General features: G+C 37.6%; 1 protein-coding gene and 1 long non-coding RNA gene across 15 annotated transcripts in view, besides 1 other annotated feature; one reads left to right on the top strand and one right to left on the bottom strand.

The window, feature by feature from the left end:
- Nucleotides 1-20985, top strand: part of RORA (RAR related orphan receptor A) — a 741019-nt gene extending 720034 nt beyond the window's left edge. For all 11 annotated transcript variants that reach the window (NM_134261.3, XM_047432928.1, XM_011521875.3 and 8 more), the window contains 6 exons: nt 3640-3761; nt 5602-5734; nt 6402-6509; nt 8200-8310; nt 9265-9377; nt 11650-20985. In NM_134261.3, the coding sequence (NP_599023.1) occupies nt 3640-3761; nt 5602-5734; nt 6402-6509; nt 8200-8310; nt 9265-9377; nt 11650-11814 (752 nt within the window). In that variant the 3' untranslated portion in view covers nt 11815-20985. The remainder of the gene's footprint in view (nt 1-3639; nt 3762-5601; nt 5735-6401; nt 6510-8199; nt 8311-9264; nt 9378-11649) is intronic.
- RORA-AS1 (RORA antisense RNA 1) overlaps nt 1-24174 on the bottom strand; it is a 151462-nt gene that overhangs the window by 121371 nt on the left and 5917 nt on the right. For 3 of the 4 annotated variants that reach the window (NR_120342.1, NR_120339.1, NR_120340.1), the window contains exon 2: nt 20678-20745. The exons of the other annotated variant lie outside the window; for it this stretch is intronic. This is a non-coding gene — a long non-coding RNA (RORA antisense RNA 1). The remainder of the gene's footprint in view (nt 1-20677; nt 20746-24174) is intronic. 4 annotated transcript variants of the gene reach the window in all.
- Nucleotides 987-1096: an enhancer, noted in NCBI's record as "active region_9509". NCBI's record gives its function as "activates an Ori minimal core promoter by ATAC-STARR-seq in GM12878 lymphoblastoid cells {active_cell/tissue: GM12878}" and the evidence as "EXISTENCE:reporter gene assay evidence [ECO:0000049][PMID:35858748]".

Below are 24174 nucleotides of genomic sequence, written 5' to 3'. Positions count from 1 at the left end.
GAAAGTATATAATTGGGCTCTAATTCTCTTATCCCATTTATACATGCAAAGTGTTTCAGGGAGCTAAGAGTATCATGAAAGTGGCCCAAGTCTTGTTGCTGCTTCTCCAAAGCTACTTAAATTTCCCTGGTATTTCTTTTGGGGCTTAAAGCCTGCTATCTCTTTAACTAAGACTCTTGACTTCATTTTAGGCTAAACTTTGTCATCAGATTTTAAACAAGTGAAACCAATTGTATAATAGGAAAATAAATTATAAACCAACACATCCTAAGTCCAATTCTCTCTTTCAAGTGTAGTATGCACAACCTATTACTTTTAGTGAAAAATATGACTTCATCCTTGGCTAGGAAATTTTGCCCTTGGTGTACAATTAGTACCTGAATTAGACATTCCAGATAAACGACCTAGGTTTTAAGTGCAAATTAGGTTTGTTACTATAATTGATATCTAAAGCTTTGCGCAGGAGAAACAGCTGATATACTGGGCAAAGCATGAGACAAGAAATCCGCTTATATGGGTTGTGGTCCTGGCATTAATATAAGTTATACAACCCAGTATACACCACGTAACATCTGCGAGCTGTAGTTTCTCTACTCCTAGAATATAAAGGTCTGTGTCTGAATCATAGCTCTGCTACTTGCCAGCTGTGACACCTTGAAGAAGTCACTTCACTGTGGTTCAGTTTCCTCCTCTGTAAAATGGAGATAATACTAGTACCTTTCTCTTGGGGTTGTTATAAGGATTAAGTGAGAAAACATACATATTCAGGATAGACACAAATTATGTGGGACTGGCATATAGTGAATGCTATATGTGTTAACTGCTATCATAATTATTAATGTCATTATTATTTGTTAAACAAGGACAGTTTGGACCAGATGCTATCTAAAGTTCCTTCCCACTATGAAAATCTGTGACTAACTCAGAAGCGAGGACTTCCCATCTGAAGTATCGAGGCGCTGGCTGTATTGCTGAAGCAGTCATGGTTGGGGCACATGACTTGCCCCAGTCACAAAGTGAGGTAGACTATAGATTATCTGCTGAGCTCAGACAGAAGCCAGGTCTCCTAACTCCTAGCCCAAGGTATTTCACTATTCCAGACTTTATCTGAGAGACCACGCTTAAATTCTCGAATTTTATTCAGCCTGACCATACTCGCCTTTGCTGAAATGGAGATTTAAAAATAGCAAAGTGTCTAAAATCTTACACTTGCCAAATCGACTATGAATTGGAATGAAAGGCTGTTGGTGAGCAGATGGTGTGAATGCAACCACTGCCCTCTACTGGTATGTCAGGTACACTGCATGATTTGTTGTCTCACTTTTTATTGGCTGTTTTAAATAGGTAGGGATAAGTGGCCACAGTTTCTTAAGACAAAGTGAAACCACAAGATGCTAAGTATCTTATTAACTAGAAATGAAACATAACCTGGAAGGAAATGATATGAGCCTCTTCTCATCCTTCACTCCACAGCATCCCCCCCTACTTCCCTGCGAAGACTCTTCATCTTCATCATTTTTTTATCGGCAAAAATTGGTTTACATTCTAGAAACGACCTTATATAGTGAGAGTTCTTTCCAAAAGAGGTAGTTCACTACCTTATTTATGTATTTTCTTGTTTCTTACTCCCCATTATTTTTGTCTTTACTCACCTATTCTCCAGCGTCATTGATTCTAAGACATGTAATTTACTGGCTTCTCTCTCTCACTCTCAGTTTCTCATTCTTTCCTTTACATTTGTTCTTTTATTTGTGTTTTATTTTTTATGTTATTTATTCATGCTGTTTTAGTGTCTATGTGTTGCCAAGTAGGGCCATTCAGGTTTATTATGTTTCAGTGTCTCTAAGGAGATTCTGGTTTCCAGCTCCATTTAGGTGAACCTGCTCTGTTTTCACACAAACAAGTCTGCTTCTGTTTGACAAAAGCAGTAACAAATTTCCAAACAAAAAGATATTCTCCCTAGTGTTGCCAAGTTTGCATTCAGCACCGTTCTTTTAAAATGACTTGCCTATTCTATACTCAAAACCCTAGGGAGAGGGATCATTTTTTGATATGGTTTTATATTCATGGGATTTTGTCAATTCTTTTAAAAAATACTTCTTTAATCATCCTTCCCTTCCAGAACAATTATTACCAAGCTGCTCCAAATTGTTAGTTCCTGGCATCTAGATTCTAGCAGCCTTCTATGTGGTCCTCCTGCCTGAGCTTCTCTGTGCTCCAATACACCAAGCACAAAACTGCTTGTTCCATTTCCCCAGATATAATTTTCTTTTTTTTTTTTTAAGAGGGAGTCTCGCTCTATTGCCCAGGCTGGAGTGCAGTGGTGTGATCTCGGCTCACTGCAACCTCCAGCTTTCAGGTTCAAGCGATTCTCCTGCTTCAGCCTCCCAAGTAGCTGGGATTACAAGCACCCGCCACCACGCCCAGCTAATTTTTGTATTTTCAGTAGAGACAGGGTTTCATGATGTTGGCCAGGCTGGTCTCGAACTCTTGACCTCAGGTGATCCACCTGCCTCAGCCTCTCAAGTAGCTGGGATCACAGACAGCCAACACCACGCCAATTTTTTTTTGTATTTTTAATAGAGACAGGGTTTCACCATGTTGGCCAGGCTGGTCTTGAACTCCTGACCTCAAGTGGTCTGCCCAGCTCAGCCTCCCAAAGTGCTGGGATTACAGGCGTGAGCCACCACACCCAGCCAATCTCTTCCTTTTCTGACAGCTTCAATTACTTTTTTCTTTCTCTTCTTCTGTAATTCAACTTTATACCTTATTATCTAGACTTGAATTGTCCTTCCAGTGTGTTCATACGTGTTCACCAGATTACAAGCTCCTAGAGAAAACTTCTTTGGCCTCTAGGTCTTTCATATCTTCAAACTCCTTATGCTCAAGTATAATAATAACTAATATTCTGTAGCACATTCTAAGTAATCCTCCCCATTCTAAGGGCTCAACTCTTTTAATTCTCATGGCAGCCCTGTGAAATAGGTACCATTTCCCTCATTTTACAAATGAGGAAACCAAGCACAAAGAGGTTAAATAACATACCCGAGATCACACAGCTAGTAAGCAGCAGAGCTGAGATACAGACTCAAATGGTCTAGCTCCAGAGTATGTGGCTTCACAACTACACTATGCATAGCCACATGGTAGGCCCTCAGTAATGCTTGTTCTGCAATTTGCAGGAAAAACAAAAGAAATACCTAGTTGTCACCATAAAAGAATATCATTTTCTAGTTTTTCAAGAATAAGAATAATCCTTCCCAGGTCAATGTTATGTGGCAGATGTGTCTTCATAAAAATGCCAAGAAGAAGCACCACGTCAATCATTTCCTATGTCTATCTAGGTCAATATTTTTTCATTCCTAGACATTGGTATAAAGGCACAGAACAAGGGCAAAGTCAGGAGGGTCTTTGAAGTCAGCAGGTCTTATCTTCAAATGCTGGCTTTGCAAAGTCCCTGTCCTCCTTCACGTTCCCAAATACAAAACAGTTCCAAATTACTTGTTTAAATGTGTAAAGACAGTCAAAACTCGCACAGCACATTGTTTTCTACTTGTTATTTCTTAAAGCAAATATTAAATCACCAATTATTCAAAGAACTTCGCTTTTCGTGTTTGTGATCTCCCGTTTTCTCCTTAGAACACCTTGCACAGAATATATCTAAATCGCATCTGGAAACCTGCCAATACTTGAGAGAAGAGCTCCAGCAGATAACGTGGCAGACCTTTTTACAGGAAGAAATTGAGAACTATCAAAACAAGGTATGATCTGAGGAATTTTTCCTCCTAGGATTGAGGCAATATTGGGAAGGGTGTTGGTATAGGAAAGTTGGTCAAGAGTTCACACAGACTAAAGAATGAATGTCATCAGGTTTCTGTTTAAATATCTTTTTTCTGAAGCTACTAATGTACTTGAGGCTTTGCCATTTAACTCAGATGCAAAATTTCAGCAATAGCAAATAATTTCTATTGTGCTTTCTAGGTATACACATACCTCCTTCCATTTGTCAACAGGAGAATAGATTAAGCAGCTTCCAAAAGTCTAAATGAATTGAGAATTGTCTCAATATCACAATCAAGATTTTAAGGTCTGGAAGTTTATGTAAAATAATCTCAGCCTAATGTTTCTGGAAGTTGACAAGGAAGCCTCATGTTTCTGGAAGTTGTATTAGGGAGTATATACAAAAAAAATTTAGAAGCTGTGATCATAACTCCAGTCTGAACCTAGCAATATGAGGCTGACAAATAGTACCCTACTTGCCTTTTTCTGTAAAACACCCAGATCAACAAGATTATCTAAGTGAATCCATTTTACATTTGAGGAAAACTAACATCCACTGGCATGTCTGGAGAGTGAAACATCAAGACCAGACCTTGACTCCTGGCTCCTAATTCAGTGTTTCTTCCACCCCATCATATCGGTGGGAACAGTCTGAAACTAAGATTGGGGAAACAAGTTAGCAACGAAAAAGATCCAGACCATTCTGTAACTGAAATGGAGAGTGCGAATATAAAAGGAATTTAACAGGACATGTTGGGGAATAGCAACACATTGCTTTGTTTGCCTTTGAGGTAGCAGGTAATGCCAGCAGCCAAAGCTACAAAGGAGAAGCAAGAAAACAGTAAGAAGCAACAAAGTATATGAAATAGGATTTTAGAGTCAGAGATGCTTGGATTTGAATCCTGGCTCCCATATCCACCAGTTTTTTGTTTTGTTTTGTTTTGAGACAGTCTCACTCTGTCGCCAAGCTGACACTTGCACTGGCGCAATCTCGGCTCACTGCAACCTCCGCCTCCCGGGTTCAAGTAATTCTTCTGCCTCAGCTTCCCAAGTAGCTGGGAGTACCGGTGTGTACCACCACGCCTGGCTAATTTTTGTATTTTTGGTAGGAACAGGGTTTCACCATGTTAGCCAGGCTGGTCTTGAACTCCAGACCTCAAGTGATCCCCCTGCCTCGGCCTCCCAAAGTGCTGGGTTTACAGGCGTGAACCACCGTGCCCAGCCAGAAAAAATATTCTTATGAAAGTGAATTAAAACAAGGATGTCATAAAGCGCCTAGCTCATAGTAGGTGCACAATAAATTCAGTTGATTCTCCTTTTCTCCCTTCCCCCAAAGTAAAGTGGTGTTAAATTTCCCAAGGCAAAATAATTACTTAAAAGAAGATCCAGACCGGGCACGGTGGCTCATCCCTGTAATCCCAGCACTTTGGGAGGCCCAGGCAGACAACACTTGAGGTCCGGAGTTCAAGACCAGCCTGGCCAACATGGTGAAACTCTGTCTCTATTAAACATACAGAAATTAGCTGGGTGTGGTGGCAGGTGCCTCTAATCCCAGCTACTCAGGAGGCTGAGGCAGGACAATCACTTGAACCCAGGAGGCAGAGGTTGCAGTGAGCTGAGATTGTTCCACTGCACTCCAGCCTGGGTGACAGAGCGAGACTCCATCTCAAAAATAAAATAAAATAAAATAAGATCCCACTTTGCCACTCTTCGTGGCCCAGGGCTAAAGCAGTGGCATGCTTTGCTTTCATAACTCTGCAGCTTCTGCTACAAAAGCTAACATCTTCCTGGAGGATGTTAATGTGTTTCCCTCTTTAACAGCAGCGGGAGGTGATGTGGCAATTGTGTGCCATCAAAATTACAGAAGCTATACAGTATGTGGTGGAGTTTGCCAAACGCATTGATGGATTTATGGAACTGTGTCAAAATGATCAAATTGTGCTTCTAAAAGCAGGTATGTGCTTTGCAAGTGAATTTTGAGATCTCTTCCTAACCTGCTTTCACCCGCTTATTAAAGAAATGCTTGGTAAGGAAGGTGTCGGGAACAGTTTTTCTCCAATGATAATAGCTCAGGTTTTTCTTAGCAGAAATGGAGTTCTTTTCAAAGGTTTTAAGATATATTCAGGAAACATTCCCCCCACTTTTCTTCTCTTCTGGGTGAAAAGATTAATTTGAAGGTCACCTACATTCCCAAATTTTCCCATCACGTGTGTTTTGTTTCTACACTCCAAGTCCTCCGAGTTTATGATGTTAGGAAGAAGAAAGTAGAACTCAGAAAGATATACTTGTTTTTGATTCTTGGTTTTAGTACATATGAATAAATGCTTTCCTAGCAACTCTGAGACTCTGCATTGCGAGGTAGAAGAGTGCTAAGGAAGTAATTTATAAATCAACCCTCACTTCAGTTAAACAGGGCTTAGCTTCAGCACAACAGTCTTTTAATTACATAGAAAACTCTGCCCTTTTGGATAGACAGCTGATGTGACTGAGAACCCGCTAGCTAAACTGCACACGACACCCACCATGCTGTTGCAGAAGGAGTCTCTACATGAGCAGCTTAGAAACAAACTCACTAACATCAGATGACCCAAATGACCCAAACCATTTCTGCCTCTGCTTAGGTTCTCTAGAGGTGGTGTTTATCAGAATGTGCCGTGCCTTTGACTCTCAGAACAACACCGTGTACTTTGATGGGAAGTATGCCAGCCCCGACGTCTTCAAATCCTTAGGTAAGGGGATATCAAGGTGCCTTTTCTTCAAATCAGGGCTATAGGAAAAGATGCGGGTTGAGTGAAAGCTCTGCTTGGACAAAATGAAAACTTTATTTAGAAACAAAAATTAAGGGGTTTTATACCTATTTTACTTTCTAGTTAGTCACTGTAGAAAAGTCATATAGCTCAAAAGTTTTTTGTCTACATTACTTGTAAAGATGTAGAGTTTCATTTTATCTAGTTGGTAATCAAAGGGATTTATATGACGTGTCCTTCCAGTTCCCTTCCAGATTTTAAGAAACCAGATTTGCTGGTGATATATTATTCGGATGACCTTTAGGATGTGAGCTGATACATAAAATTAAGCAAAGGGCAAAAGCTTTGCCCTTCCATCCCCCTCAAACAGTAACCATTAATGAGACTGAAATGCAGATATCAAAGAAATAAAAGTTACAGTTAAGTGAAACCATGATATATAATTTATAATAAATAATTTGGGGCCAGGTGCGGTGACTCATGCCTGTAATAGCAGCACTTTGGGAGGCCAAGGCAGGCGGATCACCTGAGGTCAGGAGTTTGAGACCAGTCTGGCCAACATGGCAAAGCCCATCTCTACTAAAAATACAAAAATTAGCTGGGCATGGTGGCACACGCCTGTAGTCCCAGCTACTCAGGAGGCTGAGGCAGGAGAATCACTTGAAACCGGGAGGTGGAGGTTTAACTGAGCTGAGATCATGCCACTGCACCCCAGCCTGGGTGACAGATTGAGACTCTGTCTCAGAATAATTAATAATAAATTTTGGATTTCTATAATTTAAATAAAATGAACATAGTTATTAAGAAGAATGGATAAGTATCTAAAATGAGTGATTTTTTTAAAAGTTATATGACAGATGATATATATAATGAACTGTCATGTAGCACATTGTCATTTAAATATATACATTTATATGTAAAATATGCAAATCTGAAGGAATAGACACCAAACTTAACCAGTCTTTTGGAAAACGGATTATTATTCTAGGGGACTTTCACATTCTGTGTTTTCAGGTTGGTAAATAGTTATAATAGTTTTACCACCAGAATATGTCATTTGTTAACATTTTTAAGGATGTTTCAGATGAAATAGAGTTGAAAACAAAAATGAGTTAATTTAACATATCAGTTAGAATATGGCTATTAGACTCTATAGGTTAAAAGTGTAGGCTCTGAAATCAGTCAGCCTAGCTTTGCTTCTTCTTAGGCTGTACTTTCTACCTGTGTGACCTTAGGTGCATTACTTTCCTCTCCAAGTCTCAGTTTCCTTACCTCTAAAATTGGGATAATAATAATCCCTCCTTCATAGAGCTGTTTTAAAATAAGAAGAAACCCAAAGAAATACCTTAGAGCAATACTTGCCACAGTAGTCACACAACAAAAGTTCAATCTCATTATTTTCAATGAGGATGACAGTGGCAATGGTGATGTGATGGAAGTGGTGGTGATGACTAAACAGATTTTTCTTTTAAGATTTTAAACTATTATACTGTAGAAATGTTACTACTATTCCTTCTGATCTTCAACCACTAGATCTCTCTTCACCTTCCCCATGTTTTTCTCCTAAGACCTTCTATTGGACTTAGGAGAACCTTAGGAAAACCTAAGACCTAGGTTTTTCTCCTAAGACAATAATCAAAATTCTAAACTGTCTTTGTTTTCATTTTGGCAGGTTGTGAAGACTTTATTAGCTTTGTGTTTGAATTTGGAAAGAGTTTATGTTCTATGCACCTGACTGAAGATGAAATTGCATTATTTTCTGCATTTGTACTGATGTCAGCAGGTAAGACAACCAAATAAAAATAAAAATGGTTTTCGAATTGTCTAAGATAAAGAATTTTTACAAGGCCCATACGTTTAATAGCTATAAAATATTTGGGAGCTACTAAGAGAGGTCTCCACCCTTATTAAATTGGATTTTAAGTCTTCAAATAACACCCTCTCTTTTCCACCCATCCAACACAAACATATATTCTTTTGAGAAAACCTCATGCCTTTCAGACAAAATGTAAAGAAATGAGAATTGAACAAAATCCAGTCCAGAATTAACCTCCTGATACCAAGAGAAATGCTGTGGTGGAATAGGGTTGCCTGTCTTAACACCAGTCTCCAGGATAACAAGATTTTTAAGACATCCTATTTTTTTGTTAAAATCCATTTAGATGTCATCCACTAGATTATCTGAATTTAATCTGTGTTTTCAACCAGTAGTGCATGTTTGGGGATAATCACTTTTGCTAAGTTACTACCTTCTATTTGGAAGACTTAGACATAAAGACTTTATCCTAAATTAACAACCCTTAAGTCAGTTGGAATTCTATTGACAATTTTAGTTGACAAAGATTACAAGAAAACTTTCCTATTTTTCAAAAAAGCTAGCAGGATCGATAATGAATATTTCATTCCAAAGTATAATTATTAGAACGTCTCGAGGGGCCATGATGGTTTCATTTGCACTCATATGAGTATGGCCTCATATTTAATTGTTTATCCTTTGGAAGGGGAGGATCCTTCCTTTAAGTATTGGTAAAAATGGAAAGGTTTAACACCCTGTTTTATAACTTCCTTGGATCACTTTTCACTCCATTAGGAGAAATTTTGAAAGAGGAGTGAAACTGGCCTCTGAGTCTCTAAATATTCATTGTGATATAATTATCCGTATCAAAAGAATCCGGAGAAGAAGGATCCTGACACCATGTCAGAGGAATGCTAAAGAATATCATTTTTTTATGCTTAGATCGCTCATGGCTGCAAGAAAAGGTAAAAATTGAAAAACTGCAACAGAAAATTCAGCTAGCTCTTCAACACGTCCTACAGAAGAATCACCGAGAAGATGGAATACTAACAAAGGTGAGTGCCAAAGGCTTCTAGTTGGCATGGCCTGAACTATCCCCTGGCACAAATCATGCTGCCAATATGGTCATGTAAGTCATATGACCAATTCCCAAAAGTATCAGAAGGCAACAGGCTACTAAAAAGAAATAAATTTCCATTTCAAAAAAATTCTGTTGAGCCACAGCTCATTATTCAGTCTAAATTATACTTACTATCGTTGATTACAAAGTGTCCTGCAGCAATAAGGCAATGTAGGAAAAAAAGTTACATTCTAGAAATTCTCTTCCATCAAAGTTAGGCATAAAGCAGAGTTAATATTCTGCACTGACATAAACTGTAAAAATAATCTTTGAATTTATTAATTTTTTAGAGACAGGGTCTCACTCCGTCTCCCAGGCTGGAGTGAAGTGGCACAATCATAGCTCTATGCAACCCTGAACTTCTGGGCTCAAAAGATCCTCCTGTCTCAGCCTCCTGAGTAGCTAAGACTACAGGTATATGTGCTACCACACTTGGCTAATTTATTAATTATTTTTTGTAGAGATGGGTATCTTGCTATGTTGCCCAGGCTGGTCTCGAACTCCTGGCCTCAAGCAATCCTCCCTCCTCCACCTCCCATAGAGCTGAGATTATAGGAGTGAGCCACTGTGCCCAGCCTATAATCTTTGAATTTAGGAAGAAGTTATAAAGGACTAAAAGACTTAATCAGGATGACCATATATACTAATATTAGTTCTACTTCCATTAAATTCACTAGTCATCAACAGTAAATGACTTTTGCATTTTTGTCAATTTCCCATCACTACTCTGTATTCAAAGCATAAGGTTTCATTTTTACCAATCATTATCTTTCACAATAAATATGATTATAATGTCAATTTTTTAAATGTGCTAATATCCTTCAGTGCCATTGCTAGTAGTATGTATTTGGTCTTAGAACAATCAGCCCTGTTCTTTCTTATTTTATGTATTTTATTGTGTGAGATGATGTGAGAAGTTTTTGGTTTTGTTTTCTTGTTTATTTGTTTGCTTGTTTTTTTTTTTTTTCTCCTTTATAGCTATGTTAGACCAGAAAGGGGTAACTGGGGGTTAATTGCTGTTTTGCTTTTTGATTTTGCACCTGTTAAATGAGCAAACGGGCAGGAATGGGAAGTGGAAGGGAGGAGCCCTGTCAGGAGCTTCACTCTCCATCTCTTTGCCCAAATGCAAGAGTACCATTAGGATCTCTGATTATAAACAGCACTTAACATGTGGACAAGATCTGGTGAAAACATTTCCTAGAGAAGGTTATTCTGGGTTAAAATAATAAGCAGTTTGCCTTTGTGAGGTGCTTTGGAATCTAAAAGTAATTTTGCAAATTGTGTCATTACCCTCAGCTGGTAAATGGTCAATGCTAGGGCCTCCATCCAGGCCTTCTGACTCTATTATTTTGCTCAGACCCAGCATTGCTTTATTACAGGCAAAACTCCTTATCGAAAAGAAACGTGTAGTTATCGGAGTTGACTAGTGCCAGTTCTGGATAAAATGTGTAGAGGATGCCATCACTTCCAGTTGCAGTGCCTTCACTACCCACCCACCACTGCCCCTCACCCGCTTCTCCATCACTAGACATCTTTTTGCACAGTGGTAGAAGGCAGGATTCCAGGAAGTAGAGCAGAAGGCATCTTGGAGTAGAAGAAGTCAAGAGCCTTGGGTTCTGTATGAGTCTGCTGCTGACAAGCTGTGCCAACTTTTGCTTATGAACATCTTTTCTAGTTATTGAATTATTCATCTTGAAAATCATATTTAATGTATACTTGGCATTCTATGACATGACTATATCATCATTTATTTATTTATTTTTTTTAAGAGACAGAGTCTTGCTCTGTCACCCAAGCTGGAGTGCAGTGGCACGATCACGGCTCACTGAAACTTCCACCTCCCGGGTTCTAGCAATTCTCCTGCCTCAGCCTCCCGAGTAGCTGGGATTACAGGCGCACGCTGCCATGCCTAGCTAATTTTTTTTTTTTAGGTAGAGACAGGGTTTCACCGTGTTTCCCAGGCTGGTCTTGAACTCCTGAGCTCAGGCAATCCAACCGCCTCGGCCTCCCAAAGTGCTAGAATTACAGGCATGAGCCACCGCGCCCAGCCATCATTTATTTTTACCAATCCTCTGCTACTGGATGTTTAAGTTGCTTTAAGTGTGTTTCACCATTATAAACAATGTCATAAAGATCATTCAGGTTCCCTGATCTTTGATGCTTATGCCTGTTCTTGCCTGACGGTGTGTCCTTTCTTTCACTTACAGTTAATATGCAAGGTGTCTACCTTAAGAGCCTTATGTGGACGACATACAGAAAAGCTAATGGCATTTAAAGCAATATACCCAGACATTGTGCGACTTCATTTTCCTCCATTATACAAGGAGTTGTTCACTTCAGAATTTGAGCCAGCAATGCAAATTGATGGGTAAATGTTATCACCTAAGCACTTCTAGAATGTCTGAAGTACAAACATGAAAAACAAACAAAAAAATTAACCGAGACACTTTATATGGCCCTGCACAGACCTGGAGCGCCACACACTGCACATCTTTTGGTGATCGGGGTCAGGCAAAGGAGGGGAAACAATGAAAACAAATAAAAGTTGAACTTGTTTTTCTCATGCATATGATTTCCATTATGCCTACAGATATGGACCCTTTTTCTGTCTTGACTTCTTGATCATTGACCTCTGTTTACAACAGGAGGAGGGTACTAAAGTCGGAGGATTTCCTTTTCTTGTAGCTCACTGCCCACAGACTTTCTACAGAGTCACCAATCTGTCAGTAACAACAGAGAGTCCAGCAATAATCGGTGACTGGTGTGCATAGCGGAGGTTGCGGCATTACTTTGCACAACTAGCTCTTTGTTTCATGAAGGAAGTTTTTATTTTTTCACCGATTATTGCCAGTCCGCAGGATGGCATGAAAAGGGTCCATAGCAGTAGCAACAATAGCATTATAATATATTACAGGGTAAATGGGCATGAAGACTATATATAGCTAAAAGAGATATTGTTTATATATTGTTTTAAGTAATATAAAATGTAGTTACTGGTGTAGCTTTTCCTGTTGAATTGATAAGGCACTTTCATTTTGCACCTTTTTCTTTAAATTAAATGCTAGCGTGTTCACTGTCGTGTCGCATGTGCACCAGAAACACAAGTTTAACTGAGAAGGCTTGGAAGGTACGTTGGGAGGTATTTATGCTGCTGTTTACAAAATTATTTTTAAGAGACTGGCTGGTCATATCTAGAAATCACCACGTTGGATTTTTTTTTTAACATGTGAATTTGGAATTAGAAACGGAACTCTCCCTAAATTATACTTTGCTTTTTGGTAAGTTTAATGATAGATGTGTTTATGCTTCATACAAAGTTGAATGATTGATTGGCGTGGTGGACATATACCATCATGCTCATTTTTTTTTTTTAAAGCTTTTTAAAATGCCACCTCATGGAGGCGAGGGGGAGGAGAAGCTCATTTTACACAATTCAGTAGTTAAATATGGACTCGGTCTCAACTTGGAATTCTTATGCTTTGAGAACAAATCAACAACCAGAATATTTATTGGAATCTAGCTTTTATTATAAGAAGGACCCAAAGATTATATCCTGAGCAAATGCACACTCCCCATGTGAGGACATGAAGTATTTACTTTGTGAATGTTTATGTTCTTGGTATAATCTAGGAACCCTATGAGTTTATCTCAGAGTGAACTAATTCTAGATTTGTTGTCAATAGATGCTATAATTCAAGAATGTTGCTCTCCATATTTGAAAAACGATGGATAGGAGGGTGAGGGAAGCATACAATGTTGAACCAGTTTCTCTTATTTAAATATTAAATACTTTAAGCCTTTAAAGTGAAGTTGATGCTAGCTGCAAACATTTACTCTTGTATTTATCTTCACTAGGAAACTGTGGACTGTAATTTATTTTATTAAATATTTAGAAGATTATTTGGCTTGTGTGTTCAGGTGAGAAATACTGAGTTGTTTTTGTTTAATTTCATGGTTTTTTTTTTTTTAATGATCCCTAGTGGGGGAAGGGGAAAGGAATAGTCTGATAAACAGATGTGCATATTTTAAAAACAAGTGACCTTTTGGGAATGTAGGCATTTAGACGATGATTTTAGTCGCACTAGGGGTGGGATTCAAACTACTGGTCAAAGACCATTTTGTACAGAAAAGGGAACATCTCCGATGGGTGTTAAGGTAGGAGTTTCCATGCAGCCCTTTATGTCTGAGAAATAGTCTCCTCTGCCATTGGGGTCCCTGCGGAATCTTCTACAGGAATTGCAGCTCTTCACGTCATGCTAGGTTACCAGCATGGGCTTCCCAGAGCACTTCACTCTGTTTCTAACTCCACTGACTTTTCTGACTTGTTTCTTGAGGGACTTGGAAAAGGGGAAGGTATTATTCACACAGATGTGTGTATGAAGCCTAAATAACATCCAACTTTTTTTCCAAAAACATAGTAAGAGTTTAACCATAAATAGAAGAGTAATATTCCTTTAAATTTCTTACAGGCATGTAAAATTTTATGTGTTTATAGAGAGATGCTAACTGTCAGCATATAGTATTTATATTGGGGCAAGAAGGGTTAAATCAAATCTTTAATTTAAGTAAGCATAGTTCCTTTAAAGATCAGTAGTATTTATACTCTGAAAAGAGTACCAAGCTTAGTTCAGTTATTTATTCATCCATTTTTTTTCTATTGTTTCTCCTCTGGGGGGAAATGGTGTTTTGTTTTTGTTTGAGTTTTGTGTTTTAGTTTTTTGGTTTTGGTTTTGTTTTGTTTTTTTGTCATTCAGATTCACTAAATTTGGGGATGGTTTTATTAAAGTATATTAACTTCTTTTTAACCAAAGCTTTCTGAATATGACCAGCCTCAGGTGCTAGCGCATTAAAGAGCAACTAAACCTAATTCCAGTGTCGATTTGTGAAATAATAAAAGCTAATTGAATTTCTCTAAGGGTGAGAGAGAACATAATGATGAACTTAAAAAGAAATTCCTTTTCCCAGAAGGGATTCTGCATGTACCTACAAACAATCATGCTCTAACCACAGTAATAGTCATGCCATGGTGACATTGCTTTTACGGTAAACCAAGATAGGTAATATGATGCTTCTTCCCAGGTGTTTCTGAAAGAAAAGCAGCGGTGGAGCTTAAGAGCCAAGTCCACTGATTGACATAATAGGATGGAATTGTAGACAGAGACATGCTCCATGAAACAAGGAAACAACTGACTACTATTTGGATCTAAGTTGGGATCTGATGTTAAACAATAAATTCAGTTTAAAAAAAATATGGAGCTCAGAAAAGGATGTGAAAAACTTTGCATTTTCCTTTCTTCATTATTACAAAAACACCTATGTGATGACATAAAATACTTGGGTGATATCAGAACAATTATCCTTAATAGTTTTTATAATTAAAGTTTCCTAAACTTCAGTCTCCAATAGTCTTTTAAGGATTGGAACCACATCACTGTCAGCCCCGCTGCTACAATGCCTTTGTACAATTTTTTTACATAAGGCAAATAAGGCTTTTGTACAAAGCCTGAATACCTTCTGTTCCAATGGTGTCCAAATGGTTATTATATTGTGAAAAACCTGGCCTTGGTCACAATGCAAACAAAAGTACAGATGAAAGTGCTTTTTGGACAGTTTGCAAATTGTGTTAAAGCTACGGATTTTTTTTAAAGTGTTCAGCATCTTAACGTGTATTAAAGCTATGGATTTTTTTTTAAAGTCTTCAGCATCCTAATTCACCCTTTCTAACTTAAGAAAAACATGACTTAAGACACTGCTTCTAAGTTTGGTTGTTCTTTATAGTGTGGATACCCAGTTATCTGTGAGCGTATGGGGGTGGGCTGAGGGTCAGGTGAGGAAGGAGTGTGTGTGTGTGTGTGTGTGTGTGTGTGTGTGTGTGTGATTTGCATGTGTATGATGTGTGTGCGTCGGACCGCTTCTAGGCTACTAAGTGTCAATGGAAAAGAAAATGTATTCAAAATACTTAAATCAAAACTAGAAGATGGGGAAAAAAAGATTTATTCTATACAAAGCCTTGTCTGGACCACTTTAGAGAGACTTCTATTTTTTTAACCCTTCTATAAATATTTGATGGCACTTGAAATATTCCTGCAATAAAATGTGATTTGTGTAAAGAAAAAAAGATTTTGTAATGTGAAACAAAGAAAGAAAGTAATGTAATTTTCTAAAAAAAAAAATACAAACAAACAAACTTTGTATTATTTTCTTGATGGAATTTGTCTATCTGTCTTTGGAAAACTTTTTATTTCATTGAATGTGCCATAGTAGAAATGTGTGTTTTTAGTTTTAGACTAAGGAATAGCTAGTTGTTGTGTTCCGACATTCCAAAATGCAAAACAACCTAGTAGTATCTTTCATGAAAAGGTTTAAGTAGTATGTAAGCTTCTCTCATTGTTGCTTTTTTGCACATGTTCTTCATTCCTCTCTAGTGCAATATGTACATAGAGCACTTGCGGGTGTACCTTGATCCCTCAGGGAAAAATACATATTTGTACAGTTTTTTGGGGTTTTTTTGTTTTTTGGTTTTTTTTGTTTTGCCTTTTGTTTTTGGCTAAGGAATGTCGATCGAATCACTTGTTATTGTTGAGGGGCAGCCAGATAATAATCCTAAAGCCACTGTTTCCAACATTGATTGTTTAAATCATATGTCCTTCCAATGCTATTATTTTAAGATAATAATAAAAAGTTATTTTCTGACAGTTCTTTGTGCTGACTGGTGAAAAACAAGGGTAAATAAGCACCTTATAATTGACTTACTGTGAATGACAATCCATCTTGGTATCAACGATAGAAGCCCTATCATTTTGGAGTTGGGGTTAAGAGTCAGAAACAATGTGCTCAGGGATCTCCTAAAACTCTTAAAACAGGGTGGCCAGTACTACTGGGACAAATTGTGTTTTTTATTATTAATAATAATGATAATAATACTATCCCTCCAAGGCACAAGTGAACTATATAGAACTGCGTGTGTGTAAACTCTTTACTCTCGTCTCATTTTGTTGAGTTTAGAACTTGATGTGCTCGTCAGTCTTGTGTTTCAAAACACTGAATAACTTCCAAAGCAAAGTTATGCCAGTGTGTTCAAAAGATAAATTAATAATGTACCAGCAAAGAGCATCATTCAAAGTATAGTCCTTGCATATTCCAGTTACCATTTCTCTAATAATTAAAATATTCATGATAAATATATATATAGCATCATATGTTAAAAACTATTTCAAATTCTACATATTAAGGATGAAAATTTTAAAATCCAGTAATAAGAGGAGAGACCTGCCTATCAGTACAGTGATATAGGTAAAAGATGAAATATGTTTTTAAAATACCAGCAATTAACTATTGTTTTCATGGGTTCTCCTCTAGAAGCAAACCAAAAATTCCTTCATGGAAAACAATTCTTACTTCTACATGTGTAGTTTATATCTGATGCATTACAAGAGCTAATGTTTAAAGACAAAACAAAACCTGCCTGTATGACAGCAGCAACTCGAGCCAACATTTAGTGTTACATGTTATATTTTTGAAATACCGTTTTGTTATCATATTCCACATATTACTTTCCATAAAGTCAGAGAAGTTCAATGTAATTGTTGGCTCTGATTCTTCCACCTTGGGATACACATTCACAAGAAGATTTATATATTTTCTTACTATGATAGAGGAACATAATCTGGGAAAACTTCCCATGTCTGTAAGATGAAAAGGATACCTTTACCATGTTGTTTTTGATAATAAAGAATATGGAAAATGGTAGAAATCTCTCCTCTCTATGTGTATTTGTATATGTGTGTATACACACACACGTTGACATTTTTACATAACATGTGATTGCCACTTCTTATAAAGTTATGATATAGAACCCCATGAAAACAACTTTATATTATAGATCAAATAATGTGCCCAGAAACGCAATTGCAACAGTAAATCTTGATCTATTGGTAAGAGTCTATGATACAGGTCTTCATTCTATCCCTAAACATAATGTTAGTAAAGAGGTTCCATCAGATTGTATTATAGAGACCTTCCTATTGCTATTTATTTTTAAGAGATGAGAAGACTGACTAGCAATGTCTCCACAGTGCAATTGGTTTCACTTCTGGGTCTGTCTGTCTGTTTGTGTAGGTGAGATCAGTGTTGTCAGGCTCTCAGAATAATTTTTAAAAGAATCCAGAAGCCTGACTTCACACCAAGTAGCCATCCTAGATGGGCGGGGGGGATCTCCATGTTCAACCAAACCCTCAGAACTTAGAGCAATAAATACATTCAGTCATTTATTTATAAATGAATGACAGAATATTCAATCCAAATAGAAACAACCTTTTGTCAGTGATGCAACATAACATGGAGTCTTATATTGAGAAAGTGAATATGAATATTTTAAATAGATGCCTAGGAAATCTGTGTTTGCTGTTTACATTTAATGTACTTTGCCACATTAGCAGTACCACACTTCTTTTACTTTCATCCTTCTAAGAACTAATGAAAGATAGCTTGCTATTAGCTTTGACATGTTGCACATGCCATTATGTTGTTCTCTAAGAACAACTAAATTCTCTCCAGTGTTCATGTGTGATTCCTTTTTCATCATTATTACTTTAATGTGGATGAATACTATTTCTAGGAACTTGATTATCACTGAACAGATTGCATATGTAAATGCAGATAATTCTTGAGCAATATAGTGAAAATGATTTCACAAAAAAAATCCATATGTACTGTATACATCTTCCTGAATCCAAAATTCTCCTGTTATCCACACAGTTTGAAATCTCATATTAAACAGTGGTAAATTTTTAAACATTAGGACATTAGCTGGCTGCTTCTATAAATGTACCTGTATTGTCTGCCTGCTCCTTTTGTGGAGATGTGTTTTTGTATTGGATGTTTGGGCCAATGGGAGGCTTCAAGCTACAACATATTTTCCCACTTTAAATAATATTTAACATATGACAAACCCCAGACAAGGCTTTTAATATGTATAAAGAACTGCAGTGTTAGGTGGTTTATTTGCAAACTGTTTTCAGTGTTGTCCATTTTTATGGCACCTTTAACAATATTCTTGTTTCCAAAGTACAAAAAAAATAGGTTAAATAATCTAGCCATAACTGAATGTCAAGCAATAAAACAAATGACTTTTGTGCATAGACTTAAAAAATACAAATTTTAGACATCTGCATGTAAATGCAATCTCTTGTTTACTGCTTTCTTCAACTTGAGCAATCGATTCCTTATTTACTATTAACTTAAGAACTTGTAACGGCCTGTAAACATTTTCTCTCTTACTCTTCTTTCAAATTTACCTGTCCCTGCTTTTGAGTCATAATATTTAATGTTGTTCTGCACATCTCTATACAGTTAACTTTTTGGCTTTCATTCTGTATAGATAAGAAAATGTTATATTATAAACAGCCTACTCAGTGCAAATATTTATCTGTTTATCAAATCCACAATATGCTGTATAATACCGGTTTTACTATATAATCTATTTTAGACATAGCTGTTTAGAACTAGAGTGTGCTATTTTTGTGTTTTTCTGATGTGTGGTGCTAGACAAGTTACTTTTGTGAACAACAAAAATTATCCCTTTTATTCCTAGACAATACCACCTTTGGGTCTTGTTAATTTCACTGAGTATAACTATATATTTGTATATATATACATATATATATATATCTACCTATGCCCAACTGGCAGCTGTATCAGAGTGCTGGATTTGGGACATGCTTTTCTCTTTAAATACATAATATCATTATATAAATTATTCTAGAGTGTATTTAATTAGGATAAAATTACTTCCTTAGTATGGATATTTGACATCTATAGGGTGAATTTGTTTATAAATATGGCTATATGGAAACTTATTAGCATTTACTTTATGTTTGCTACTTGGCTTTACAGCATATCTCCTAAGCTGAAAAATAATTTGCCAGGCCTTCAAGATCCTAAAGAAACTTGTTTAATGGAGTAATATACTTTTTTTTCTTATTAAGGAATTGTATTACTGGCACCTAACACAGTTGTATTCTTAGCTCCTATTATAGATAATGGGCATTTACATAAAATATCCTAGATGGCTTGATGGCAGAATAAACCTTTCCCCTCCTACCTGAGTCATGAGAAGGATGGAGACGTCCTCTGCCATAACATGGGCCATAAAGCAAATTCGACATGGGATGTTCTGTTTCAGTATGACCTCAACCAGTTCCATGAACTGAGTGAAGGACCTTCATTTTCAAAGTTATTTAATAAGTAGCTTAATTAAGCCTTTCTACCCATTCTCCCAAGATCTACTGGCATTATTGAAAAGCAAAGTTTATCAAATATCTAACTAAGGATGTAGTTAACCTTATTAAATATTGATTAGAATTGTTCTGTAATATTACTGAATTTGTAAGATCTTTAGCAAAGATTTTTGAGCAATTTATAAATGTAGAGCAAATGTTTCTGTTTACTGCACTTTTTGTAACTGAAGGTGATAAATTCTCAAGCCATGATTATTGGCTTCCATGCACTGCAATATTTATCCACAATTCTAGACATTTTCCATTTTTGTGGAAGAGTTGCTGTTACCTTAATTATAAATGCAATTGTGTGGTTAATGAGAGCTAATGCTAGTAGTTAACCTTTTAAAGTGGATTGGCTACAGTTGAGGGAGAAATCTCTTTTAATATAAATCACATCATTCCTTAACTGCCTCTCTTGGAAAGAGATTGAAACCTTTTTTTTAAAGCACGATTTAGCATCCTAAGCTTCCTGAGGGTAGAGATTGTATCTTTTTGCGTCTGCACAATGGCTAGCACATGTCAGCATTTGACAATTGTTAAATGATAACAAGTGTGCCCCAATTAAAACGTTTTTCCTGGGTTGTTTTGTTAAATTTACAAAGTAAGCCAAGCCTTACGGTTAACATTCTCCTCTACAACCAAGTATTAAAGCCACATTTAAAAAGACCACATGAAATGCTGATTCTAATTGTGTGTAGGTCTTGAGGATTAAGCACACAAATTTCACAAACTTCTGTTTGAGTAAACAAACTCAGCCTTCTGTAAATATACATGCAAGTTTGGAAACAGTAATACTGTACCTATAAATATATGCTGTCTGTTTTGTGTACAGTATGTAAAAACTCCTTTTCTGCCACACTAAAAATGCAAGCCATTTATGGGAATCCTAAAACTAGTATTGAACTAAAACTTTGCTAATGATCTTTATTAGAGGATCGTCCAACTTTTCACTTACCTTGGGTTTTCTTTTCAATTCACTCTTACACTAGTCTGCTTATTTCCAGCTGTTTATTTTATTGAGTCCTGAATTTAAAAAAAAAATATTTTGATTCATTTTGTAAATACAAGCTGTACAAAAAAGAGAGATTTAATGTTGTCTTTTAAATACTCCAATTTTCATTCTAATATGAATGTTGTTATATTGTACTTAGAAACTGTACCTTTAATATTACATTACCTTTATTAAAAGTGCATTGAACACATCAATTTTAGATGTGCTTTATGTACTGTTATCCTATAATAAAACTTCAGCTTCTAATGGAACACTTGCCTTGTTTTTCTTCTTTTTTCTTGGTTATTGAATTGGACTGTACATAGTTTCCTAGCTTACATCCTGTCTCTAGTGAAGGGTCTAGGAGAGAGTAGGTAAGTGTGGTCCAGACTAGCAGCACGGCATCTCCTGCGACTTTGTTGGAACTGGATAATCCCAGCACTACCCAGACCTACTAAATCAATCTGCCTTTTTATAGGATCCCAGGTGATCCGTATGCACATTAAAGTGTGAGAAGCACCGGTGTATACCACAGCACCTTTTTTTTTTTTTTTTGAGACGGAGTTTCGCTCTTGTTGCCCAGGCTGGAGCGCAATGGCGGGAGATCTCGGCTCACCGCAACCTCCCCCTCCCAGGTTCAAGCAATTCTCCTGCCTCAGCCTCCTGAGTAGCTGGGATTACAGACATGCACCACCACGCCCGGCTAATTTTGTATTTTTAGTAGAGACGGGGTTTCTCCATGTTGAGGCTGGTCTTGAACTCCTGACCTCAGGTGATCCGCCAGCCTCGGCCTCCCAAAGTGCTGGGATTACAGGTGTGAGCCACCGTGCCTGGCTTTTTTTTTTTTTTTTTTGGAGATGGAGTCTCGCCCTGTCGCCAGGCTGGAGTGCAGTGGTGCGATCTTGGTTCACTGCAACCCCTGCCTCCCAGGTCCAAGAGATTCTCCTGCCTCAGCCTCCCAAGTAGCTGGGAATACAGACACACACCACCACACCCGGCTAAGTTTTGTACTTTTAGTAGAGACGGGGTTTCACCATGTTGGTCAGACTGGTCTCAAACGCCTGACTTCATGATCCGCCCACCTCGTCTTTCCAAAAGTGCTGGGACTACAGGCATGAGCCACTGCGCCTGGCCAGTGTAGCACTTTTTAAAAAATTATTGGCCAGGCACTTTTTAAAAAATTATTGGCTGGGTGCAGTGGCTCACACCTGTAATCCCAGCACTTTGGGAGGCCAAGATGGGCAAATCACGAGGTCGGGAGTTCGAGACCAGCCTGACCAACATGGTGAAACCCTGTCTCTACTAACAATACAAAATTTAGCCAGGCTGGTGGCACGTGCCTGTAGTCCCAGCTACTCAGGAGGCTGAGACAGGAGAATCGCTTGGACCTGGGAGGCAGAGGTTGCAGTGAGCCAAGATCGCACCACTGCACTCCAGCCTGGCGACAGAGCAAGACTCTGCCTCAAAAAAAAAAAAAAAATTATTTGCTGCCATTTTGCAGGGAAAATAATGTTTAAAAGGATCAAGCAACCCTTTTGATCAGAGAAGGCAAAGAAAAAGGTATTAACTTGTGAGATAACACCCACTGATTGACAGTCACTCTTGGAAATGCAGAACTGAGAATTCTGAAGTTGCTTCCTGTCTCATAGGAAAAGGGTGCCATGACTGATTAGTCCTATCTTCCCTGAGTGCAGAAGGAGAGAAATCCTGAATGCATAGATTGTCATTTTTGCTTTAGAAGTCATTAAAATTGAATTGTAGAAATGTTGCCAAAGACTTTTAATAGAGTCTCTGACTACCTGCAGTGTCATGGCCCCACTCCCACCCTTTCTTTTGAGTAAATTACTTAGGGGTGAACCATAAATTTAGCATCAGCTTAGTATTACACCATTTTAATGGTGCAAAAACCTCATCATCAATTATTTTCAATGTAATATCAAGGACATTCAAATTATAAAATACTCTGAAGTCAGAATAAAGGCAACTGAGCTAGCATTTTCCTCCACATACCATAATGCCTAAGCATCCCCTGCACTCAGTAGCATTCAATAAATATCCGAATTATTCCCCAAAGTTGCTGCAAGTAGTAAACAATCCCTAATCCTGCTTTTATTTTCAACTACCTCAGAAAAAAAGAATGAAATATTATGCATGTGAAATCTTTGTAGACCATCAAGTTCTACATAATTATAAACACTACACTTTCCGGTGTCTGCAGAAATTGAGAGTTAATGAAAACAGAGTTTAAAATATGTAATCTGTCACCTCTAGATCTCTGCCCAAACTCATGCCTAAACTCCTTTTGCCAAAAATAATGATTTTCAGCCACCTCTTTATCCTGGATTAGCTTGCTCAGTTTCAAAAAGGGTAAAAGGGAATATAGAAGAGACTTCTTAAAATTCTGTTCCTGATGATCTCACAGGAAAAGCAGAAAGGATAACAAATGTCAGGTTATTAATAAAGTCTAGGAAAGAAAGCAAAAGTAATAACCATAGACTGGTCAGTAAGACATGACCTCAAGAATGTCTTAGTTGCTACTGTTACTACTAAACTTTTCTTCATGAGGCAAGAGGAAGCAAGGGTCAAGTCTAGCCCCTTAAAAGCGGACTTCATATCTAACGTGCATTTGTACCAAATGGGCAGGTGCAGAGGCCTCAGCTTCTCCTAACAGGTCTGTGAAAACACCGAGCCACATGCATGGTGGTAGGAAAGATAGCTGCTGCTGTGCTGAGATGCAGTTAAGCACCTTGGCTTCCCCTTTTGAATAAGAAATTGAAGATAGGGCCCAGTGGTGTTCAAAACCATGGTCCAAAAGAGATTATTAATGTAATGTAAGTCATCAGAGACAGGAAGAAAAAAAGATACTTCCATGCTAAAGGGATTTCGGGAACTTGAGGATGAGAAGGGAATATCTGGTCAAGAGAACCCCCCTAGATTCCAGCAGATTCACACTGATGGCTCCCCTACTGCTTCTACTCCTTGCCCCCAGCTTTTGAAGCAAGCATGGACTCCCAGTGGTGGCAGAAGCGTCACTCTAGGAGATTAACAGGAGCTCTCTCCTTTCACTTTGCCACCGGTGGTGAGCTAAAGAAAACTCTTGGTTTTTTTCTAATGTCACTTATCTCTCATGTTGGAAAGAGAGAAACCAGTCTTCCTGTATTTAATTTGATTCTAGATTTTTTTCTCCTTGGGAGGGGAACTGTCTACTCCAGTATAATACAGTCATCTCAGTAATCCATTTGTTATTTAACCACTTGATAGACTTCTCAAACAATATTTTTAATTCCAGGATAACTTCCCTTTTGTGGGGAAGAAGCTATATCATCTATCAATTGTTCTTTGCTTGAAGGACAAAAATTAACTTTAATATTAGCCTCACCCAAAATCTATTATAATGACTTCCTAACAAGCCCCATACCCACCCCTTCTACCATTCTCTCTCTACTCCTCTGATAAAACAC

Source organism: Homo sapiens, chromosome 15 (assembly GCF_000001405.40).
Source record: "Homo sapiens chromosome 15, GRCh38.p14 Primary Assembly".
NCBI classification, from domain to species: Eukaryota; Metazoa; Chordata; class Mammalia; order Primates; family Hominidae; genus Homo; species Homo sapiens.
The sequence above is the reverse complement of the archived record's forward strand: the minus strand, read 5'-3'. Positions and strand labels throughout refer to the sequence as shown.